General features: G+C 36.1%; 1 protein-coding gene across 8 annotated transcripts in view; it reads right to left on the bottom strand.

Moving 5' to 3' along the window:
• SLIT2 (slit guidance ligand 2) overlaps positions 1-24,784 on the bottom strand; it is a 368,657-nt gene that overhangs the window by 61,180 nt on the left and 282,693 nt on the right. For 7 of the 8 annotated variants that reach the window (XM_005248211.3, NM_001289135.3, NM_004787.4 and 4 more), the window contains 8 exons: positions 19,798-19,941; positions 17,763-17,929; positions 16,756-16,888; positions 13,283-13,351; positions 10,823-10,894; positions 10,254-10,325; positions 8,484-8,555; positions 5,414-5,577 (listed from right to left, as the gene is read on the bottom strand). In XM_005248211.3, the coding sequence (XP_005248268.1) occupies positions 5,414-5,577; positions 8,484-8,555; positions 10,254-10,325; positions 10,823-10,894; positions 13,283-13,351; positions 16,756-16,888; positions 17,763-17,929; positions 19,798-19,941 (893 nt within the window). The remainder of the gene's footprint in view (positions 1-5,413; positions 5,578-8,483; positions 8,556-10,253; positions 10,326-10,822; positions 10,895-13,282; positions 13,352-16,755; positions 16,889-17,762; positions 17,930-19,797; positions 19,942-24,784) is intronic. The other variant, XM_006713986.3, reaches the window with a different exon arrangement.

Raw genomic sequence — 24,784 nt, 5'->3', positions numbered from 1 at the left:
AGTAAACTCTTAAGTCTTCTAAACGCAACTGCAACTATATTGATTGAGTCTTGAATGTCTACTCTGCTTGCCAACTGGCTTACACGCATGCTGTTTGCTATTTAAGGTATACTTTGAAATACGTGCAATCTATTGATCTTATAGTTTAGTGAATATTAAACTGAACTTCCACAGTTGAAATGATAAATTTAGGCTTTACATCATCTGACAATTAACAAGTTTTAGCTCAACTGTTTTTGGTGGCCCTGGAACAGGTCCAGAAGTTTCCTACGTGCAAGCTCTGCTCCCACAGTTATGCCCACCTGTAGCATTATCCTCACACTTGTCTGCTTGTCCACTTATGTCATTACATCTTTCACAGCCCTCCTTCTTTTACACAAATTATCCCTCTGAGTTCTTGTAGCAACTACACTATCCACTATGGTAGCCACTAGACATGCATGTATATTTCAGTTTAAAGGTAAATAAAATAAAATAACAATTATTTTTCTCAATTGCATTAGCCATATTGTAAGTGCTCTATAATCCTATGTAACTAGTGGCTACCACATTGAATAGTGCAGATTTGGAACATTTCTATTACTATAGAAAGTTGTATTGGGCAGTGCTGAAAAGTGCTAATTTTCCCTGAAACATATTTCCATTCATGCTACATTAAGTATATGAGATTCTATAGTCATTAAATGTAAAAAAAGCTCAAGTTAGTCAGATAAATACTGAGTTACACAAAGATGTACGTAGGTATGAATGTATGTACAGGCAGACCTTGGAGATATTGTGGGTTTGGTTCCAGACTACCGCAATAAAGTGAATATTGCAATAAAGACAGTCAAACAAATTTTTTGGTTTGCCAGTGCATATAAAAGTTATTTTTAACTATACTATTATATGTTAAATGTGTCTTAAAATGCAATACCTTAATTATAAAATATTTTATTGCTAAAAAATGTGAATGATCATCTGAGCCTTCAGTTAGTTGTAATCTTTCTGCTAGCCAAGGTTGTCTCCTTGGAGTTAGTGGCTGGTGAGACTGATCAGGGTAATGGTTGCTGAAGGTTGGGGTGGCTGTAGCAATTTCTTAAAATAAGACAACAATGAATTTTGCTGCCTCAATTGACTCTTCCTTTCACCAGATATTTCTCTGTAGTATGTGATGCTGTTTGATAGCCTTTTATCCACAGTAGAACATTTTTTCAAAATTGGAGTCAATCCTCTCAAACTCTGCCATTGTGTTATCAACTAAGTTTATATAATATTCTAAATCCTTTGTGGCTATTTCAACAATGTTCACAGCATCTTCACCAGGAGTGGACTTCATCTCAATAAACCACTTTGTTTGCTCATCCGTAAGAAGCATCTCCTTATTCATTGAAGTTTTATCATGAGACTGCAGCAATTCAGTCACATCTTCAGGCTCCACTTCTAATTCTAATCTCTTGCTATTTCTACCACATGTGTAGTTACCTACTCTATTGAAGTTTTCAACTCTTCAAAGTCATCTATGCAGATTGGAATCAACTTCTTCCAAACTCCTGTTAATATGGATATTTTGCTCTCCTCCCATGAATCACAAATGTTCTTAATGTCATCTAGAATGGTGAATCTTTTCCAGAAGGATTTCAATTTACTATGCCCAAATCCATCAGAAGAACCACTATGTACAGCTGCTGTAGCCTTATAAAATGTATTTCTGAAATAAGACTTGAAAATCAAAATTATTCCTTTATCCATGGGCTGCAGAATGGATATTGCATCAGCAGGCATATAAACATCATTCTCCTTGTGTATTTCCATCAGAGCTCTTGGGTGACTAGGTGCACTGTGAAGAAGCAGTAATATTATGAAACAAATCATTCTGAGCAACAAGTCTCAAGAATGGGCTTAAATTATTCAGGAAACCATGCTGTAAACAGGTGTACTCTCATCTAGGCTCTGTTGTTCCATTTATAGAGCATAAGCAGAGTAGATTTACCGTAATTATCAAGGGCTCTAGGATTTTCGGAATGGTAAATGAGCATTGGCTTCAACTTCTTAGCCCCTAACAAGACAGTCAGCCTGTCCTCTGAAACTTTGAAGCCAGGCACTGACTTCTCTTTAGCTATGAAAATCCTAGATGACATCTGCTTCCAATAAAGTCTGTTTCATCTACATTGAAAATCTGTTGTTTAACAGTGTCACCACCTTCATCAATTATCTTAGATCTTCTGGGTAACTTGCTGTAGCTTCTACATCAGTACTTGGAGCTTCACCTTGCACTTTCATGTGACAGAGAAGGCTTGTTTCCTTAAACCTCAAGAATCAACCTCTGCTAGCTTCCAACTTTTCTTCTACAGCTTCCTCACTTCTCTGAGCCTTCATAAAAATAAAGAGAGTTGGGGCCTTGCTTTAGGTTAGGGTTTTGTTTAAAGGAATTTTGTGGCTGGTTTGGTCTTCCATTTGGATCACTAACACTTTCTCCATATCAGCAATAAGGCTGTTTCATTTTCTTATCATTGGTCTGTTTGCTGGAATAACACTTTTAATTTCCTTCAAGAACTTTTGCTTTGTATTCACAACTTGGCTAACTGTTTGGCACAAGAGGCTTAGCTTTGGGTCTCTCTCGGCTTTCAACGTGGCCTTCCTTGCTACATTTTTGTTGTTGTTGTTGTTGTTAATAATTTCTAGCTTTTGATTTAATGTGAGAGATATGAGACTCTTTCTTTCACTTGAACACTTAGAGACCACTGTAGTGTTATGTCTGGCCTAATTTCAGTATTGTTGGGTCTCAGAGAATTGGGATTCCCAAGGTGAAAGAGAGAGAGAGAGACAGGGGACTTATCTTGGACTTCCAAGAGCATTTCACAAATTAGTGTAAACTGTGATGCTCTAAGAGTGGAGTACAAATATGCAACTTTTTTCAGATTTGTGTTATAATTTTTTTTCAAGAAATACCTGTAGGGAATTATAAACTTTAAGAAATACAGATAAGCATTAGCATTATTGAAAATAAAGTATGAGTATCGCTGGGCACAGAAAGGTGTAACAGAATCAGTTTGCAGTTTGTCAACTTCCCCATGAAATTTGCCTGATAATGTGCTGAGTAGAAGGTTTTATGCCAGTTTCACCTTCCTTTCCTCCCCTTTGACAATCATCTCTCTCTCACTTTACAAAATAATGATATACTTCTCAGCCCACCAGAAACTTATCACAGGACACTGTCCCAATAAAGATCTAGGATCGTAAAGGAAAGATTATTGCAAAAATTCTTGCAATCAATGCACATAATCCCAGAGAGGCACTGCAATAAAATTTCACTTTCAACTTTAAATAAAATAAAATATTGATAAATAATTATGTAGTTTCAATCAGTGATGCACTAATATTAACAGCAATAATTCAATTCAAAGAAGATGTAAAAACTTACAGCCTTTTGGTGGCAGGAAATTTTAAAATTTCAATTGTATACATAGTTTTTGGAGCAAAAAAATGACACAATTTTCTGGGGTATTGAAAATAGGAATTCAAGGAGAAAATACAGTTTAAGAAAAAAACAATGCAATATATTAAGGGGGATCTTGTTTTTTTCCTTTTATAAAATTAGCTCTGATATTTAGATTCCACCAGATACATTTAAAAAAAATCTCAGATGAGTTTTGTTTTAAAATGTCAATATTTACAATGTGGTGCAAATTACCTTTTGCAAACATTTACCACCATGAAATAGATTAGAGGCCAAATTAAAAACGTTGAGGGTATGTATAGGATTTGAAAATTACTTTTTTATTAATAAACCATGAAGTGTCCTACATCACCTTTTTTTGGTGTTTTGAAATGTTATAACAATACAATCAGCAGCTAACATATTGAATGTTTCTGTGTTTGAGGCAGTCTTTTATCTATATTATCTAATCTTAACAAAATCCTTTCAGACTGTAACCATCACCACCTTTGCTTACAATGAGGAAACCGAGGCACAGACTAGTAAAGTAATTAAACTACAGTTAACTCTTACCAAAAAGTGAAGCTGGAATTTGGCTCCAGCCAGGCTGGGCTTCAGAGCTCACACTGCAACCCACCGCACAGCATTACCTACTTAAGTACGTTTTTCCTCCATAAATATTCAAATGTTGAAAGCTTATCTTTTTAGTTAGGTTTTCAAATCATGGAAGGCAAGGCCATACCATGAAGTTCTCTATGCTCCATAACACCTAGGATTGAGTTTTGCACATAAAACATGCTTAATCAATATTTTCTGATTAGACATTTAACATTTTCAAGAATTTCTCTCCTCCATCTAATAATGATGAGTGACCTTCTTAAAATACACACAATCTGGCCAGGCGTGGTGGCTCACACCTGTAATCCCAGCACTTTGGGAGGCCAAGGGGGTGTGGATCATGAGGTCAGGAGTTCAAGACCAGCCTGGCCAACATGGTGAAACCCCGTCTCTACTAAAAATACAAAAATTAGCTGGGTATGTTGGCACATGCCTGTAATCCCAGCTACTCGGGAGGCTGAGGCAGGAGAATTGCTTGAGCCGGGACCCGGGAGGTGGAGGTTGCAGTGAGCTGAGATCGTGCCACTGCACTCCAGCCTGGGCTACAGAGGGAAACTCTGTCTCAAACAAACAAAAAAAAAACAAAACAAAAGCCCCCCCAAAACCCCACAATCTAAGAATAATAGTAAACTTTATCCCACTTTTTATAAGGAACCTAAATCCATATAGTTGACTACCATCAGTGGAAATATTTACACAATAACTTTAGTAGTCGTTATCTCCAGGTATGCTGACTAATGGTTAATTTTATTTCTTCTTGCAGAAAATAAATTGTTTCTTATTATTCATATTTTTCTATTTAGGGGCATGTATTATTCTTGTAATAAAAAGGAAAATAATATTTGTTATTCTGACAATATTTAGATTCACAAATACATCAAACAAAGGGAAAAGAAAGGGATACAAACAAGCAAGAAACAAGAACATCAACACAGGAAGGCTGCAGCACATAAGGCGAGTCAGAAGGTTTGGGCTGAACACTGGGGAGGGCCTGTTTCTCCTTACCTGGTATGAGGAAGCCACAGGGCCCTGGCAGCCCTAGGAGCAGGGCACATGTTCAGACAGGGCAAAAGCAAAACATTTGACTTGTTAGAGGCTATGAAAGGAATTTCCAGAAATTGTGAACTCTACGTTTTTTGATACACTTTCAAGAAAACTTGGTCATTACCAATGGACTATTTCTGAGATTTATTTGAAAAGCCTAATTCTTTACTTGGGCACCTCAGGTAACTGCTCTGTCTTGTCCAAGCATGGGCTGAAAAAATAATCATTTACTGGGCATTTCAACCATACCTTTGGATTGACAATTGGTTGTCTTTTTCTTTTTTACTTAATATAGTAATTCTTAAAAGAAATACAAATGATTAAAAACCATACCTTGACAGGTAAATTTTTTGGAGGGAGTTGTGAGTAAAAGTTTATCTGCCATTTCTCCAGGACCAGCACAACGAGCAATTCCAGGCTCCTTATATTCCGACTTCACCCAGTCGGATAACCACTGCATGTTACAATCACAGTAAAGAGGGTTGGCTCCAATTGCTCTGGAAAAACAACACCACAGAAGCACACACACATACACACACACACATACACACACACACACACACACAAGTATGGAAGTATTGTTATTTCCTAAGGGCAAAAGAATTCAAAGTGATGCTCAGCAGAAAATCCCCATAGATTTATTGAGGATAACAATTTAGCAAAAAAATAGAGACACTGGGGATTCCCCATTTTCCTGAATGATGTGCACTGGGATTTAGTGAGTTGTCACTGGTGTCAACACTCATGTTGCTTTAGAAGGTCTCCTAATATTTTCAGAGACGTGTTTATATTGAGTGTAAACACACCGAGTGCATTACTATTTCATTCACCAATTATTTACTGATGACTTAAGTCACAATGCAAGGTTCTGAGGACCCAAATATAAATAATGCATTATTCTTACCTCCAAAGAACCCCTGCTGCAGAGGAGATTAGCATTAGCATTGGGATATACTCACAGATGCAAAGAAGTTTCATTAGAAGTGATGTAGGAGAAGTATTTACAAGATGATGGTGAACAAACAGATTAACTTTTCTGGGAGGCTGGTGGTTAAGAAAGTCTAAGCTGTGTAGGATAGTTAGAGTTAAGTAGAAAGAAAGGTTGGGAATAATGATACAGATAAAGGACAGGTAAGTACAAAGAAAGAACATAAAATACTGAAGATGTCTAGAGCTAGCTCACCAGAGCTGAGCTGGACCTGCACTGGGTGCTGTCTGTCACTTTTCAAGATCGTTCATTTTACGGTTGTTCATTAGAAGTAGTGACAGGAAAGTAATCAAGGTAATAGCTAACATTTATTGCACTATTACTATATGCAGGAGCTGGGATAAGCCATTTATAAGAATTACTTCATTTTATCCTAAATAGTAACTTTATAAGGTCCATTTAATTAATAATTGACTTTACAGATTAAGAAACTGAGACCTGGACTCATAACCTTATAAAGGTTGGATTGAAGCCGTAGATGCATACAATGGCATTTAAAAACTGCTTACTTCTGATTTACAATTAGCTTCTAACTAGTAATCCTACTAGGTCTACCGTCAGGATAGTTATCTTATTTTTTTTAGGTAGCCCCTGAAATATATGTGTAGAATCATAATACTCGATACTGTGGAAGTTTTAATGCCCCGTTTAAGAATCAGAATGTAGTGAATGTTACCTGCATATGTATGTCAGATTCAAACCCTTCCAAATTAAAAATGAGCAAAATGATGTTTTTTAGTCATTTGATCTCATCTCTATCAACATTTAAGTCCTTGATGTGACAGGGGAGGAAGTGGGAAAAGTGAAAAAGCAGAGCTCTTTATGATCTAGGGGGTAAAAGACAAGGCACAAACAAACCTGCACGTTGTGCACATGTACACTAGAACTTAAAGTATAATAAAATATAAAATATAAAATTTCTTTATATATATAAAGAAAAAAAAAAAAAGAAATGCAAGGCAGAGCAGGGCACAGAACAAGGAAGACTCTACTTGCTCTCACTGTTGCGGGAGGAGGCTGGTAACATGAAGGGAAGTTCCGCTCAGCTCAAGCAGCACCTTTCCTGTGAAGCCTTTTCTGATGCCTGACCATAACACTAGCAGAACGGCTACCTCCTCATTCAGCCTGCATTCTCTGCCTGAGGGCACCACAGCCCTGCATCTCTGAGCTAGTAGCTTCCTTCATATTGCAGCTCATGCACGTGGCAGCCATGGAGTTTGTAAAGGAGTGACTTAGAGGTAGGTTCTTGGCTCAAACACGAAAATGTAAAGGCTCTGCCTTCCTGGACCTAGTAGTTTAGTGGAAGGAATATTAATAGGCACCAGTCTGATAGACTGATGTACAAAACATCAATTGATAACACAGACTCTATAAGGCAAATGCAGACATAATGTGATTGAACATTGGATCTTCAATTCAATTCAAAGAAGATGTAAAAGCGTAGACTTTTGGGTGGCAAATTTTAAAATTCCAATCATATGTATATTTTTGGAGTGAAAAATGATTATTCCTTTCTCAATTTTGTAAAATCGTATCTTCTTGGAGTTTGTGGGTTTTCGAGAGAAGTGCAAAACCAGGAGAGGATATGGCAGGCAATCTCTTCTAGGAAACTGGGGCACAACTGACATTGCTGTTTAGGCATAGTTAAATAGATAGTTGCCACCAAGCACCCAACTCAGCATCAGCCAAGGAGGCTTTGGATCCTAAGGCTGCTGGCTGAACTTCCTTCTAGGTTTGCCATGATCTTAACATTACACCTAGTAATAATAAAATCATGGAATTTGACCCAAATGAGTTTTTTGGACCACACTTATCACATATTTTCAAATGGTTATACTGTACTTCCAAAAACTATGGAGGTACAAACAAGTTGTGATCAGAGAAAACATAAAGGAAAAGCCATTTCACCCAATCTAAGTATTTGGCTGTGTCTTACTTCCAAACTATAGTCTCGAACCATGTTGAATTTATTTTTGTGTGGTGCCACAGTTGATGCTGAATAAGTAAATCCACTTTGAGCAAATCAGGAGAGGCTTCATAGAGAAGGTGATACTTGAGATGTGACTTAGAAAAGCAGGGTTAGGATAGATAATTAAAAGGGAGCTGATGTTCTAGAATCAGATAATAATGAGAGAAAAAGCATAGGCTAGTAAAGTTGGAGAGCCATATTTGTAGAAGAGACATGTTTAGCTAAGCAAAGATAATTCGACTACTGGAAAATAAGAGCCAGAAGGGAAAATTAAAGCCATCTTGCAGAAGGCATCATATCCAGTTTGAAAATCTTCACATTTTCTTTAAAGATGAAACCAATTACATCTTATGATGTTACAGTAAAATAACTGGCAGAGGAATGTTCCAAGTCACTCATTAGGAAGTGTTTGACCCTAAACCTATATTCATAAACTAGGTACTCACAGATGTGATAATGCAGAAAGATCATTGAAAGCACCTTCAGGCACAACAGAAATGTCATTTCCATGTAGAGAACTAAAAGAAAGAAAAAGAAAAATTAAACTTCCTATATTTCTGAACTCATAGACTCCAGAGAAATTCCGAGACTTTAGTTTATAATAAGCATTTTAAATGAGTGCAGAAAAGACGGTCTATAAAATAAACAGTTTTGGTACAACTGGATACCTGAGAAAGCAAATGGCTTCCACCTCACATTATGTGTACAAAATAAATTCCAGAATGAAGAATTAAATGTAAAAATAAAAATGTATTAAAAGAAAATAAAGAAGATCTTCCTTTTATAAATGTGGAGTGAGGAAGGCTTTCACAGGCTCAGTTATAACATCCAGAAACCATCAAGGAAAAGAGGGAGAAATTTTTGACAACATAAAATATATCCAAACAATAAAATATTCCATATAAGAAATAGAATAATATATATTTGCAACTTATATAAGATATAAGGATTAATTCTTTCATTTAAAAAAAACCCCTGCAAGCATAGAGTAAAGTAGTATATGCATAAAGATATCTACATTAATAAGGAAAATATAAAGTACCCAACAGAAAATGGGGAAATGATAGATCAAGCTCATTAGAATAAAAAGCACGAGTGCTTAGTAAACAAATAAAATATATTCAAATGCTCTACTAATTGGAAGTGCAAATTAAGACAGGAACGCAGAATAACTTTGAATCTGTCATATGGACAAAAATAAAAGAATAAATAATATTCAGTGTTTGCAAGAGTGTTTTGAAAAAGGTACTCTTAAATAGTTGGTGGAAAAATTAACTTCTAAATGGACAAAGTCTTGTCTGGGGAATAACAAGACAGTTACTTTTGGAATCCTTCCAATATACTTGACAGTACCTTCCCACACACCCTAAATTCTTGCTGAAATGCCAGCACATTTGCACCAAGAGGAATGTATAGGATGTTCATTAGAGTACTGTATAGTACTCATTAAAATTTGAAATTAAACCAAATCACAGTAAAGATGAAGATGATTGAATCAGTTCTGGTTCCTCCCACCAATACAACAGTCTCTACCAGTTAAACAGTTGAGTTATATATATGTATAAATATATATCTATTCCATTCTTATATATATATTTTTATTCATATATATGATAGACTTGAAATATTCAAAAGCATATGTTAAACAAAAATAGACAATGGCAGAACAAAAACAGATCCTATTAATATCTGTGGCTTTTAAAAGCTATATAGCCATGGGCCTACATCTATTAGAATAGAAAAAAATGCATCTGAAAAAGGACCAGAGAGCACATCAAACTGTAAATTCTGAGGCAGGAGAGTAGGATCAAGGATCATGTTTTATTTCACATATTTTAAAGGACATTTCACAGTAAAAATGTTTTCATATACTATGTAATTTCTAAAGAAATTAATTTTGAAAGTTTCTCAATTTTGAAAGTTTCTTTCAAAGTTAATTGAAACTCTATAAACCATATGTCTTAATGTTACATATAATCAAATAAATGACTATAACAACAATCAGTATTACTAAAAAGGAAGTTATATTGTCCAAAGCAAAGCTGTTGGACAATGATACTGTAAGAAATGATTTTTCTATTTCCTAATTTATAATAAATCCTAATGCATGTATCTTCAAGCACCAAGAATCAACAAAGCAGTTACATCCTTAAAAAGACAACCCCAAACTCAGATCTCTGAGAAAAGAGATATTCTGTTGAACACAAGATGCTTACAGTAATCGAAGAGACTTTAATCCATCAAAGGTGCGAGGAGGAATACATCTCAGACGGTTGTAACTAAGAATTCTGAAAGCATACATATGTCAATTTGTTTTATTCAGAAATCCAAAAATGGCCAAATACTTCCAAAAATAAAGCAGTTAAGGCTTATTAAAGCATCTTATTAACTGATAGTGTTAACACACAATATATTGTTATTTTTTGTGTGTTGTCTCCCTAACACAACATACTTATTTCCTAAATACAACCTAGAATGCTTCCCGCTGCCTACTCCTGCCCAACTTTGGTGCGTCAGCCGTCCCTTCCCTAAGGTGGATTTTCCCTATCTTAGGGATCTCCCCTAAGCCCCCCACAAACACAAATTATTCTTTGTTTTTTTTAATAGAACGCAATACTTTTCCTAATGTCTACATTGTTCACGTATCGTGGTTTTGTCTGTTTCTCCCAATAGAAACATTCCTTGAGGGTAGAGACTGTCTTGTTCAATAGCAATGTCCAGCATCTAGAGACTGCCTTTTGTCCATTGAATTAATGAATACTCAGTACCACACTTTCACACTCACAAGGTGAGGAGCTGGGTCATGTTGCTGAAGCTCTGATTAGAAAGCGTGCTTATTCTGTTGTTACTTAAGTCTCTAAAAGAGAAAAAGAAATGGAGTACACTATTAACCACAGAAATGAAAATATTAGTGATTCTTAGAAGGAGAAGGGTCTTCTTATAGTCATAGCAGTATTGTTAGCATTCAGCTGTTATCTGAAAACAATAAAACAGTGAACGACCCACTGGAGTAGATTGCAATGTTATTCATGATTATTTACACCTCACTGTTTTGAAATTAGGAGTGATTATATATATATGCATTGCTTTAGCCAATGTAGTGTACGTGCAAGGGGTTGGTTCACTTCAAAGCAGCAGCTTCAGAGCAGAGTTTATTTGCCCTTATCCCTCTGCGCCCATCTCCATAAGGCTTTTGATATTTTACAGGGAGCTTCCTTGGAGGTGACTTGCGATAGACAAAATTTTGCCGGTGGGAAATAAACCCTTATCTTCAAAAGTCCTATCAGATACACATACTTTACCCTCATTGATACATATGTTCACTGATACACAGACTCAAATTTGATCACTGAAAGAACCCCTGATTAATTACATTCAAAATGTCATCAATAAAAACGTCTGTGCTCCTGCCCCTGGCTGAGTCATGGTCACACAGTAGGTCCTCAATAAATATTTGTTTAATGAATGTTAAGTAAATGGGAGAGACGTTGAATTTTTACCAATGTTAAATGGCTACTTATATGTATAGTTTGTACTATGGGTCGTAATTTACATTTCATGAACTTGATCTTATTCTCATTATATATATAGTGTATATATACACACACTATATATGTAAAAAATATATTAAAATATATATACAATATGTAATACTAATATATATTCACCATTTATAATAACTAAATATATTCACTAATTTTTTTCTGAAGCAAAATGCAAAATATATGAATAAATGGAAGATTCAGAAAAACCGAGGATAATCTATTCCTTTATTAAAATATCAAAATGTCAGTAAAATGGACCCATGAAATTGTGAAAATGTTAAGAATCTGAGAGGAGCTTTATACTCATATTTTTAACTGCTGAAGAACTATTCCTAAATTTTAAAAATAAAAGTATCTGTATTAGCAGAAGTAACTTGCCTAGAGTTGTATCATGAGTCACTAGTAAAACCATTTTTGGATCCACAAATCCTCATTTGTCATTTCGAGCTGGCTTGAAAGTAATCACATGCTGTCCCACAAATGACCCAATTCTGCTAAAGTGACCCTTTGGAAATTGCAGCAATTTAATGGTTTATTTAACAGAACAAAATGTATGTAATCAGTTCTTGCTGCTATCAAATAAATAACTAGAAGCAGAACAAGACATCTTAGAGGATATCTTTTTCCATTGTTTAATCATTTGTCATTTAAATACTCCTATTTACTTTCTATAAAGTGTTTGATTTACCCATACTTTCAAGGAAAGTGATCAGCAGCAATTTTAACTAGCTTCAATGTACCTAGTTTACATTGGGGCATGTAATATTTTTTGCTACTTAGGTTTGTAGAATTCACTTAGAAATAAACCTTCTAATTCGTTAACCAGTAATCTGCTTCTTACGCTAGTAATATTTACTCTAAAATTAGATAGACTTAAACAAATGATACGGTACTTTCTATTAATATCTACTATCTTTTTCCTGATTTTTTGTGTTCTGAAAAGTTTTCTCAATTACCAATAAGGCTACTTTAAAAGTATAGTATTATATGTAAAAGATTATATCAATTTTTAAACATTGTGCATGTAACTAGATCAAATGTTTGTATATTTAAATATCTTCTTGTATTTACAACTTAAGGGTTGTCAAAGGTTGTTTACATTAATAAAAAAAGAGATGTTATTTTAAGCTAAAAAATCAAAATTTTGAAATTTATACTCAAAATGTTAGTATCTTTGTCAAGTTTACTTAAACACTACATGAATATATATGGATTTTCTAAAATACATTTTAATACTGGAAACCCATAACTTATTTAACAATGCTTTGTATAAGAAACAAACATAATAAACTACATTTACATTTTTGGGAAAGTCATTACCACCTACCATCTTTCGCTTAAAGTCAAGAATAAAGGCATCGTTTTCTATCTTTCCTTCCTTAGTTTGTCATAAAATAACCCATATTCATTATCAATAAAAATCTGCAGGTTTATACATTTTCATAATTCTCTGACTACTCAGACTTCGTTGTATTTGTGCTTTTTTGAATAGAGGAGGACCTCTTGCTAAGACACTCCATCGCCTGATCGATATTCAATGAAGATGTAGCCAGGGGTCCAGAACCGCAATGAGCAAGGAGGGAAGCATCTAACTGTGAATGATTTGTATTATCTGGAAGGTTCACTAAATCTTCTGTCCCTTGCCATCCCCATTTTCTGGAAATAGAGTAAGTCAAAGAAAAGTGCAATATGTTACTCACATAAGTGTTAAATGTTTGTAGTTGGAGAGTTCCTTGGGAACCAGTGTAAATTGGTTTCCATCCAGATACCTAAAAACAATGGAACAATATTATCTTCTTACAAAGTAATGGTGGCCTTGAATAAAATAAGTAAACAGTACTTCACTCTTAACTGAGGCAAGGAACCCCTTGGCAATTTTTGCTTTAAGATGTCGTGTTCCAAGCATGGATTATTATTTAAGAGAAGTAAAGAAAAAAAAAAAGCAGAGTTGTCCACGAGTCCAGTTCTTTGTGGTTTATCTAACAAGGCAAGCCCAGCATTTAGCCATCTGTGTGCAAGCAAGGAGATTCATTCAATTAACCGTACTTTTAGTCAGCCTTCAGTTTGCTTGTGTTTATGTGGACACAATACCATGAAATTCATTAACTAGTAACAAAACCTTGCTGCTGTGGCCAAGACCACTCATTGCTGCCTTAATATGTGTCAATACACTTAGTGAATAACAATGGACACATTAAAGGCATATTTGCGGATTTGAACATATTAGGTTTAAGTTTAAAAATAGTTGTAACCAGCATATATCTTCTTGGTGATGATAACATTAGGAGATTTTATAGAATATAAATTGATGAAGTGTATAAATATATATATATATATATATGTAACAGCAATAATCAAATAACCATATATAAGTAAACTTTCCCTTCTTATTAGAGTCAGAAGAATAATCAGAAAATAGGTTTTGGGCTAACTGGCAGGACAGAGAGATAATCGAATGCCTGAAGTTATATCTATTATGTCACAATAAGGAAAATAAATTTCATCTCCTTCCAAGGCTGTTTTTCCTAGAACGTAGATGGTGAAGGGTGCAAATGTCATTCAGAAACTGGGGCCATCTGGCTATACATGTGCCCACAGACACTTCTGGGACATTAAACATGTGGCCGTTCCTACCCCAATGTTGTGGTCCATTTCAAGATTCCAGGTTGAAGTTGGTATTTTTTCTGGATATAGAAATAGCTGAGAAGTTGTCTAAGATGATAATTTATTCCCAATATTTCAAAATAAAAACAATGATATAAAAGGCACCAGTTATCAGAAAATATAATTAATGTTTGATAAATAATTGGGTCTATGTTATGACTCATCATGTCTACCTAAATTTTCTGACTTGATATTTCTTCTTCGACCCCTCTCCATTTTTTTCTTTCCTCTACCTAAGTTTTTCTTGATACCACTAGAGGGAAGCATCACCCTATATAGTTCAGCACTCTCCCTTTATTCCAGAAAACACAGCAGAAGGTCAAGATTCAGAATGTGCGCTATGAATGTTTATATGTAAAATAATCTAAGGCGGAAGTTATATGGAACTGATTAAAAATAATGGATACCATTTGTTAAAACTAGTCCACCAATAATACTAATTTTTGCCAAAGTCTTTAATTATTTAATGTAATACACATATGAAATTCTTCTAATACATGCATATATGTTACTGCTAAGAAGGATTCTGCTGACTTGGTAAGGTTACAAGAATAAGCTCTCCAGGGGGTAAAACTTGAATTCAAAACAGATAAGCTAATATTTTTCTCATCTCTATGACAAACTTTCTTTGGAAAAAAAGACTACTTTTTAATAATTTGTAGTAAAATAGATTGAAAATTCAACTTTTTGAATAGTTGAAATATGCTGTAGATAGCACAGGGTATGCACCAAGCAGGATGTCCAATGGAGCTTAGTAAGAAATGTTTAAAGTTATTTAATGGGAATAGAGTAAAGTGACCAATACATAGTCCAGTTAAAATTGTAGAAGAAGGGATTTAGCATCAAAGGTGGTCTGAGTGTAAGTTCTTCATTGGTGTACTCCTAAAATTAATGCTTTGGACACAGAATATTCTTTTTTTATTTTTTATTTTAACTATCTCTGCTTTATATTTTATTTTTTTACTATACTTTAAATTCTAGGGTACATGTGCACAACATGCAGGTTTGTTACGTATGTATACATGTGCCATGCTGGTTTGCTGCACCCACTAACTTGCCATTTACATTAGGTATTTCTCCTAATGCTATCCCTCCCCCATCCCCCCACACCAAGACAGGCCCCGGTGTGTGATGTTCCCCATCCTGTGGACACAGAATATTCTATAGGCATCTAGCTTTCCCACAGAGGAGGGTTTCGGAATATCCCTATGTGATCTTCTGAAATAAAAAACATTACTATAAGAATTAAATATTTAATTACACACATATACATATAAAATAGTCCTTCCAGTTGATTAACCAATGTGATTGGTAGTGAGAGAGGACCTAAGCACTTAACAGCAGTTCAAATCTAAGAGCCGTGTTCTAAGCACATGTGCTAAGTTTGTGCCTTTTTCCTCTAAGTGTTCTATTCAGGATCAAACTTAGGGTTTAAAGAATTGCATGTGATTTGAAAATAAGATCCTTAAAAATTGAAATGACATGCCCTTGAACCTCATTACCTATGTTGCACACTGTCAAAAGTTTGTCAAACCTGCTCATTTGGAATATGTGTGTGCATCTGCACAAATAACTGATACACATCTGCATAAATTACATTTGGGTTTAAATCATTATTGATCCATAGTTCCACATAGATAAAAAATAAACAGGCAAAGTGACTCAATTGTATTCAGAACAAGCATATCCAGAATATGACAGTTTAGAGACAAAGGAATGGAATGAATGGGGCATGGAAGCATCATTATTCTGGCAGCATATTCTCTAATGAATTCCATTCTGCAACTGTAGCATGAGGCAGCCAAGGGAGCGTGGGCAGTGCAGAAGAAGGTCGAGATGTGTATATCCTGGCCATATAATTTGTGGTTAAATATCAGTTATGAAAATGTCAAGGATAATTGGTCCCATACCCTTTAGGATCTAAAGGACTTTGATTCAAGCCTCCAAAAGCAGCATCTCTTCTTAAGGGAAGAGATTATGCTAGTTTCTTCCATATACCAGATAGTTATTTATCCCATGTGGTAAAATTTTCTCCTAGGGGTCACAGAGGTAAAAAAAAAAGTTTCCTGTACAGAATATCCTAGACTGTAAGTAAATGAAATATAAAGCATTTCCCAAAGTGCATTCCATGGGCCATTAGTCTTGTAAGATGCTCCATGAGAAAAGGGGTATAGGAACAAATAAATGTGAAAGATACCTTATATTTTACCATTGTTTCTTGAAGAGTCATAGTACACTTTAGCATAGTAAAGGCACTGAGAAATCTTATAGCGCACACACACACACACACACACACACACACACACACACACACACACACACAGCAATTCCCAAGGGCCTCTAAAGTAGCTTTTGCATTACTTATTTACCATTTTACAGGATAATAATTAACTGGCCTTAGAATATGATTTGTAAAGAAGATTGTAAAGATTTTTGTCCATTCCTCTGGGTGTATGAAACATTTATCATCAAGGAAAAAGAAAAGAAAAGAAAGACAAGCTCTACTTACAACTCTGTGACATCTCTTGGAATACCTTTCGGCAAGACCTTCAAACCCTTGTTGCTACATCGGACGACTGTATCCAAGCAAGTACATTCAGTAGGACAGCGAGAAAGTGGGGAGCAACTATTGTCATCATTTCCTAAATCGCAGAGGAAATACAGGAAAACCAAGATTTGTGGTCTTGAAGGTGCTAGAAGGGATTTTATGCCTTTAAATTAACTTAACAAACACAAGAGTCTTAAGCTACATAATCATTTATTTGCGGGACATTCAGTATTTACTAATTGATACCGTAAGTTCTATATAGCACTGTTTTCAGACTGCCTAGGGAAGAATTCTGGAAAATGGCTTGCAATTTGTAAACTGTAATTACAATTACCAATACAATGGAAAATAGTTATTTGTACAAATTATATTTTTAATTACAATATGTAAATGCAAAGTGAATTACAGAGAAACGGCACGGAAACAGATATGAAGAGACATAAGGGAATATATTAACTTAAAAGTTTAGGTTCCTCATTTATAAAGCTCAAATTAGCTCTCTGTTCATTGGCAATAATAATAGAACTTGTTCTATGTACCTGATAGGGCTATATGAGAATCAAATGTGATGATATAGAAAGAGCATTAAAAAGTGACAACTAGTATTTTTGTCAGATTTACTAAAACTTCTGTAAGTTAATTTCTTTTCTCCTTTGAAAATGGTAGGTACTAAAAAACATGCCTAGGGTAATAAAGAAAAGTTAAAATGAAGCTATATAAGTAAGACCAACCACAAGTTGGAAACTAGAAAATCTAAAACATTCAGAAATGCACATCAAGTAGACTCAAATGTGGAAGGCAAGTCTAAGAAAGTAAGTGTCCTGGCACTAAAACAAAACCCAAACGACAAAGCAAAAGATACACGATCATTATTTGCTGAGCTGAACTATGCTGTAGATTTGTGCAAAGCTGCATCAGAACAGGCATGTGAATGCCTGACAATCAAAGAGTTGATAAGTATTTCTTACCGTCATCACAAGTGAAGTCCTGAATGGCCACATCCTGGATGGGTATTTCTTTCAGGAAGTATGGTTTTTGACATCTAGGATTTCCCGTGACAATTCTCTTCTTTCTCAGCCACTCTCCCAACCAAGCCAGGTAGCAGTTACAGTTAAAAGGATTGGCCAAGAGGTTTCTAAGAGCCACAGGCAAACGATGCACAGTTTAGCCTGGGGTTTCATCTTCTTCCTTCTCTAAACCCCAGCTACCCTTCTCCACGCTATTTCCGCTGGAATGATTCCTTCTTCTTTGCATTCCCTGTCCCCATTCTTACTCAGAATCACATGCAGTATATGAGATGCATTTTTTTTTTGATAAAATATTTATGCTTGGAACTTAAGCAGTAACAACACTTTTACATAAGGTAATTCTTCACATGATTTCATGCAAAAAATAAGGTAAGGTAGAATTTGGGGTTTATACAGTGGATCCTGATAGATATTTCATTTAGAAATAATTTAAACTTGTCAGAAATCTGACTTGCTGTCAAACTTCGCACTGATAATGCAGTAATTTAATATAAAGATGAAGGCTGATTACCTTATATTATTGAGTTTAACCTGACAACAGCTAATTCATTAATTTGTCATCTCAAGATTTCCATCTCTTATTTGCTCTAGAGAATAGGTTTCCCATCTAAACTGACAGCTGAGTTGATTAAATGCCAGTTATAAAAATGAATTTACTTCTACAAATTTCAATACTTCTGGCATCTCACCACTTCAGCATAAACCTATTGACAATCTCATTATTTATAAACATGCCATCTTTAATATGTGCAAATTAGCCACTCGATGTAAAATGTCACATTTTATGCAAAAAGAGGATTAAGTACTTTCCTGATGGATGGATGCTTCTCTCAAATTATTTCTTCACTGACTTGAGCTATGAACTTTTTTCTCTATCTTTATTCCCCTCCTTTTAAGTTAGATTAGTAGATTTGCATGCCACCGTTACTGAGAAATCTTATCAGTTAGATAATTAATAATTTCAAATGCTGCTTTTTAGATACTGACATATAAGAGACCTGAAATACATTGTTTGGAGGTGTGTGGCTTTTTTTACTTTTAAATTTTATTTATTTATTTATTTACTTTTCTTGAATTCTGTCTATAGGCCTACAAATACTCTTTATTTTTAAGCTGTCTACAAAAAATATTCTCTTGGATCAGCTCAACCTATTTCTTCAATATTTTGCTAATATCATAGTAGACCCCCTCTAGTAAACAGCTTTTATTTTTGATCTGGTCATCCTAATATATCTACTGTCATTTCAAATGATTCTTTTTTTTTTTTTCCTTGAGATGGAGTCTCGCTCTGTCATACAGGCTGGAGTGCAGTGATGCGATCTTGGATCACTGCCACCTCCGCCTCCCCAGTTCAAGCAATTCTCCTGCCTCACCCTCCCGAGTAGCTGGGACTACAGGCACCTGTCACCATGCCTGGTTAATTTTTTTTTGTATTTTTAGTAAACACAGGGATTCGCCATGTTGGCCAGGCTGGTCTCGAACGCCTGACCTTGATCAAGTAATCCGCCCGCCTCAACCTCCCAAAGTGCTGGAATTACAGACGTGAGCCACTGTGCCCAGCTGATCCTTTTGAGCAAGTTTGTTGGCAATAACTCTATCAATTCTCCTTTTATAATACTTATACTGAAAATACTCCAATGTGAGAACACTGGCAAAAATCTATAACATTTCTTTTATATGCAGCACTATCAAGTTATAATAATTCTAAAATTTGGAATTAAGCTACATTATTGATCATATCACTATGAAAAATAATTCACTGAACAATACTATAATTTTTTGTTAAAATTTAATCTAAGATAGTAGGTAATATTTTTTAAAAAATTTAAATAAATTTGATGTGAACAAGTTTGTCCTTTTTTAAGTCCTAAAACCCTTGATCACATTTTAATGAAATGCTTAATAATATATTAAATACATTAACAAATATAATAAATGGCTCAAGTAATACATAAGGGCTATTTTTCATACTTACAGAGTAGATAAAGAATGGAGAGTATCAAATGCCCCTGGTGCAACTGTAGTAATTTGATTATCATACAAAGAAAGCAAACGCACAGAACTGAGTCCTATGAAACTGTCATTCCCCACACAGGTTATTCGATTGCTTCTCAACATCCTGAGGGGAAAAAAAGGACATTGTTATGGAGACAAAGCATCAGGCAATCAATTTTGCCTATCTGAGGATCGAAATGATCCTTGCAAATATGTAGCATTCATTACTACTTTTTAAAAATGTTCTCTTGCTATTAGATATTGCTATGAATATATACTGGGAATATCTTGCAAGAATAAAATGCTTTGAGTTGCCAATGATTAATCTCAGTTACAAAAGGCACGGTGAGTCTAGGCATGGATTTATAATCCCATGATGAGGGAAGAATGTTTTCCTTTGATGCTACAATTATGTTTGCGTGATTGCATAATGTCCTAATTCACCTACAGCTCTCTGAGTCCTCGGAGCCCTGTGATTTGTGTATTCAGGGTAGTATTACATTTGAGGTTGAACAGAAGGGAGGCAGAAAAGAATCAATAGCCACTGCAGATGAAGAACTGAGGGCATCTCAGGGACTTACACACTGAGTCAATGTCAAACATGGTCCAGGGGCGCCAAAATGGACAGAATATCCACAAAGACTACACGAATAATTTTATTTATGAAAATTAGCTCATTGTTTTAAATTGAGAACTTAAAAAGAGGCAACGGTAACAGATCCCATATCCACAATAAAGTTTTAAAAGGTTTACCATGAAAAAATACCTTTTTTTTTTTTTTTTTAGTCATTGTCATTATAGGATTAACACTATTGTCATTTCCTTGTTACTGCTAAAGTTTTGGCTCAATTATCAATTCTTTGCTAATTATTTATTTGTCTGGCTTAAAAACTGAACAAAAAGCTCAAAGTCCCATGTGAAAATAGTTATGAGTATATGAATAGTTGCCATAAATCGTATTCAGAATTCCTGAAAAATTAAATTATTCCTTAATTTTTCTAAACATAAGTTGGCTACTAAAATATTGAAGAATGTGAAAAAGAGAGGTAAAAATAAAGAAACAAAGTGTCACTTTAAAATTCTAGGTTGCCCTATAATAAATAAGAAATATAAACGTTTGCATTCTGCGAAGTCACAGATAAGATGATGCTCTCCTTATGAAGGGATCGTTTTATGTTAGAAAACAAATGCACTACAGAAAAGCATTCCTATCAGTGCTTTCCTTTGTCATAAATGATGAAGAGCACTGGGTCTTAATCTTGCTGGAGTCACATGCCCCTGGGGGAAGTTGAAGACAAGTTTGAGCGCCAGGTCCAGTGGCTCATGCCTGTAATCCCAGGACTTTGGGAGGCCGAGGCGGGCGGATCACGAGGTCAGGAGATCAAGACCATCCTGGCTAACACAGTGAAACCTGGTCTCTACTAAAAATACAAAAAAATTAGCCTAGCGTGGTGGCGGGCACCTGTAGTCCCAGCTACTCAGGAGGCTGAGGCAGGAGACTGGCGTGAACCCGGGAGGTGGAGCTTGCAGTGAGCTGAGATAGCATCACAGCACTCCAGCCTGGGCGACAGAGCGAGACTCCGTCTCAAATAAATAAATAAATAGATAAAAATTTTAAAAAAGAGAAAAGTTTGATCTCTGTTGCTAGAAAAATCCATAAGCACACATATGCACAAATTTCACCTGCAATGTCAAGGAATTCAATGACTGGCTGAAATATGTATATGAATTAGTAAGTGGCCTATTAGGGTTAAGAAGCCTAGGGGGAATGGAAATGTGCTCTCAAAATCTTCATAGCTCCAAGACAAAAGACACCAAGAATAGGTATGTTCAGATAAAACTATTCTAGGATTAACTACCCTGAGTTTGGTTCTAAAATGCTCTATGACGCTTGTTGAAACCTAACTAGATTAAGGAGGGAGTCCGTGAATATCTGTCTCAGGTGCTAAAATGTAAGCACTTCAAAAACATCCACAGAAATACAATGAAAGGAGAAAGTGGAATTTAGATAACTTTTCACAGGGAGAGTCCTGTGAATGAAAAACAAAACAAGAAGAAATACTTTGATATAAGTTCCTTGAGGTGGTGTTTCGGGTTCAACTGTGTCCCCCTCAAATTCGTATTTTGAAGCCCTAACCCCCAAATGTGACTGTACAGTCATGCACCATAGAACAATATTTTGGTCAAGCAGAGCTATACAAAAGTTGTCCAATAAGATTGCAAGGAAGCTGAAAATTTCCTATTGCCTCGAGATGTCATGGCCATCATAATGCCATAGCCCAACACACTACTCATGTTTGTGGTGATACTGGTGTAAATAAACCTACCGTGCTGCCAGTTGTATAAAAGTATAGCAAACACTTATGTACAGCACATAATACTCCATAATGACAATAAACAACTATATTATTGGTTTATGTATTTACTATACTATTGTTATTTTAGAGTGTACTTCTACTTATTAACAAAAAGTTAACTATAAAACAGCCTCAGGCAGGTCCTTCCGGAGGTATTCCAGAAGAAGGTATTGCTATCCTAGGAGATGATAGCTCCTTGCATGTTATTGCCCCTGAAGACCTTCCACTGGGACAAGGTGTGGAGGGAGATGACAGTAATATTGATATATTGATTATCCTGACACTGGGCAGGCCTAGGCTAATGTATGTGTTTGTTTCTTAGTTTTTAACAAAACAGTTTAAAAATGCAAAAGTAAGTAAATCAAACAATTTAAAAAACAGAAAAGAATAAAGAAAAGAATAATAGAAAATAAAAAATTCTTATATAAATATAAGAGTAAAAAAATTTATACAGCTGAACAATGTGTTTAAGCTAAGTGTTATTACAAAAGAGTAAAAAAAGTTAAAACATTAAAAAGTTCATAAAGTAAAAAAGTCACAGTAAGCTAACCTTAATTTATTACTGAAGAAATACATTTAAAAAATAAATTTAGTGAAGCCTAAGTGTACAGTTGTACAGTGGTTTTTGTTTTTTTTTTTTTTTTTTTTTGCGACAGAGTTTCACTCTTGTCACCCAGGCTGGAGGGCAATGGTGCGATCTCTGCTCACTGCAACCTCCGCCTCCCGGGTTCAAGCAATTCTTCTGTCTCAGCCTCCCAAGTAGCTGGGATTACAAGTGCCTGCCACTATGCCCGGCTAATTTTTGTATTTTTTAGTAGAGATGGGGTTTCACCATATTGGCCAGGCTGGTCCTGGAACTCCTGACCTCAAGTAATCCACCCGCCTTGGCCTCCCAAAGTGCTGGAATTACAGGTGTGAGCCTCCGTGCCAGGCCGTGTACAGTGTTTATAAAGCCTATGTTAGTGTACAGTAATGTCTTATGCCCTCACGTTCACTCACCACTCACTCATTCACTCACCCAGAGAAACTTCCAGTTCTGCAAGCTCCATTCTTGTTAAGTGCCCTACACAGGTGAAGTATTTTAAATATTTTGTACCATCTTTTTTATTGCTCTTTTCTGTTTAGTATGTTTAGATACACAAATACTTTACATTGTGTTAGTAACAATTGCCTACAGTATTCAGTACAGTAACATGCTGCACAGGTTTGTAGCCCAGGAGCAATAGGCTGTGCCATATAGCCTAGGTATGTGGTAGGCCATATCATCTAGGTTTGTGTAAGTCCACTCTAGGATGTTCGCACAATGGCAACGTTGCCTAATGACACATTTATCAGAACATACGTATATTTGGAAAGAGGGACTTTAGGGAGGTGATTGAGGTTGAGTGAGATTGTGTGGATCCCATCCTGACGGACTGCCATCCTTACAAGAAGAAAATGATACCAGGCAGCTCATTCTCTCTCCCTATGAGCAGATAGAAGAAAACTCATTTGAAGAAACAGTGAGAAGGTGACTGTTTACAAGCCCAGAAGCGAGGCCTCATCAGAAACCCACCCTGTCAGCACTTCCATCTTGAACTTCTAGCCTCCAGAATGATGAGAAAATCAGTTTCTGTTGTGTAAGCAATCCAGTCTGTGGAAGCTCATTATGGCCGCCTGAAGACATGCATACAGGTGGAGTTACAGCCTACCGCCTTCCTCCCACTCCAAGGTACTTCCCTGCCAGGAGAAGGTTCCAGTATCAAGAAAGCCTTTTAACTGCTGTTTGAAAAGGGAGCCTTCTGCTTGTTATAATATTTGTATTTTACCTGAGACAACTCTGGAAAAGGTTAGATGCAGCCGCCTGTGGTCTCTTTTCTATCCTCTTCCTACACATTCCTCAGTATCTTTCTTTTCTTTTCTTTTTTATGAGACAGAATCTCACTATGTCACCCAGGCTGGAGTGTAGTGGAGCAATCTCGGCTCACTGCAATCTCCGCCTCCCGGGATCAAGCGATTCTTCTGCCTCAGCCTCCCGAGTAGCTGGGACTACAGGCATGTACCACCATGACTGGCTAATTTTTGTATTTGTAGTAGAGACCGGATGTCATCATATTGGCCAGGCTGGTCTTGAACTCCTGACCTCGTGATCTGCCCACCTTGGCCTCCCAAAGTGCTGGGATTACAGGCATGAGCCACCGCGCCCAGTCCTCAGTATCTCTTTCATCACAAGGCTGAGTGAATGTTTGCCTATCATTTTGAAAGGGCACCAAGTTAGCCCTTGGGATGGGTCAGCAGGTCCCAGACTGGTCCTGCTGGGTGGTCAGGTTTCAGGCTATTCCTGCAAAACTCAAGGAATGCACTTCTGCTCTTAGGTGCAGGGAGGGCTTTGCGGGTGGGGATTTGAATTTGGGATGCTATAAACACATCTTGCTGGCTGTGGGAATGCCCTTCTCCCTCCGTATCTGATAAAGAGCAGACAATGGACTCAGCCTTCAGCCCACTGGTCATACATGGCTCTCACAGGCTGTGCGGGGCAGGATCGTGGGTTTGAGGGAGACAGACTCCCCACTACAATCACCAAGGACTGCTTCTTGGTTACAAATATTTTCCTTTCTGCCTTCTAAAGGC

Source organism: Homo sapiens, chromosome 4 (genome assembly GCF_000001405.40).
Source record: "Homo sapiens chromosome 4, GRCh38.p14 Primary Assembly".
NCBI classification, from domain to species: Eukaryota; Metazoa; Chordata; class Mammalia; order Primates; family Hominidae; genus Homo; species Homo sapiens.
The sequence above is the reverse complement of the archived record's forward strand: the minus strand, read 5'-3'. Positions and strand labels throughout refer to the sequence as shown.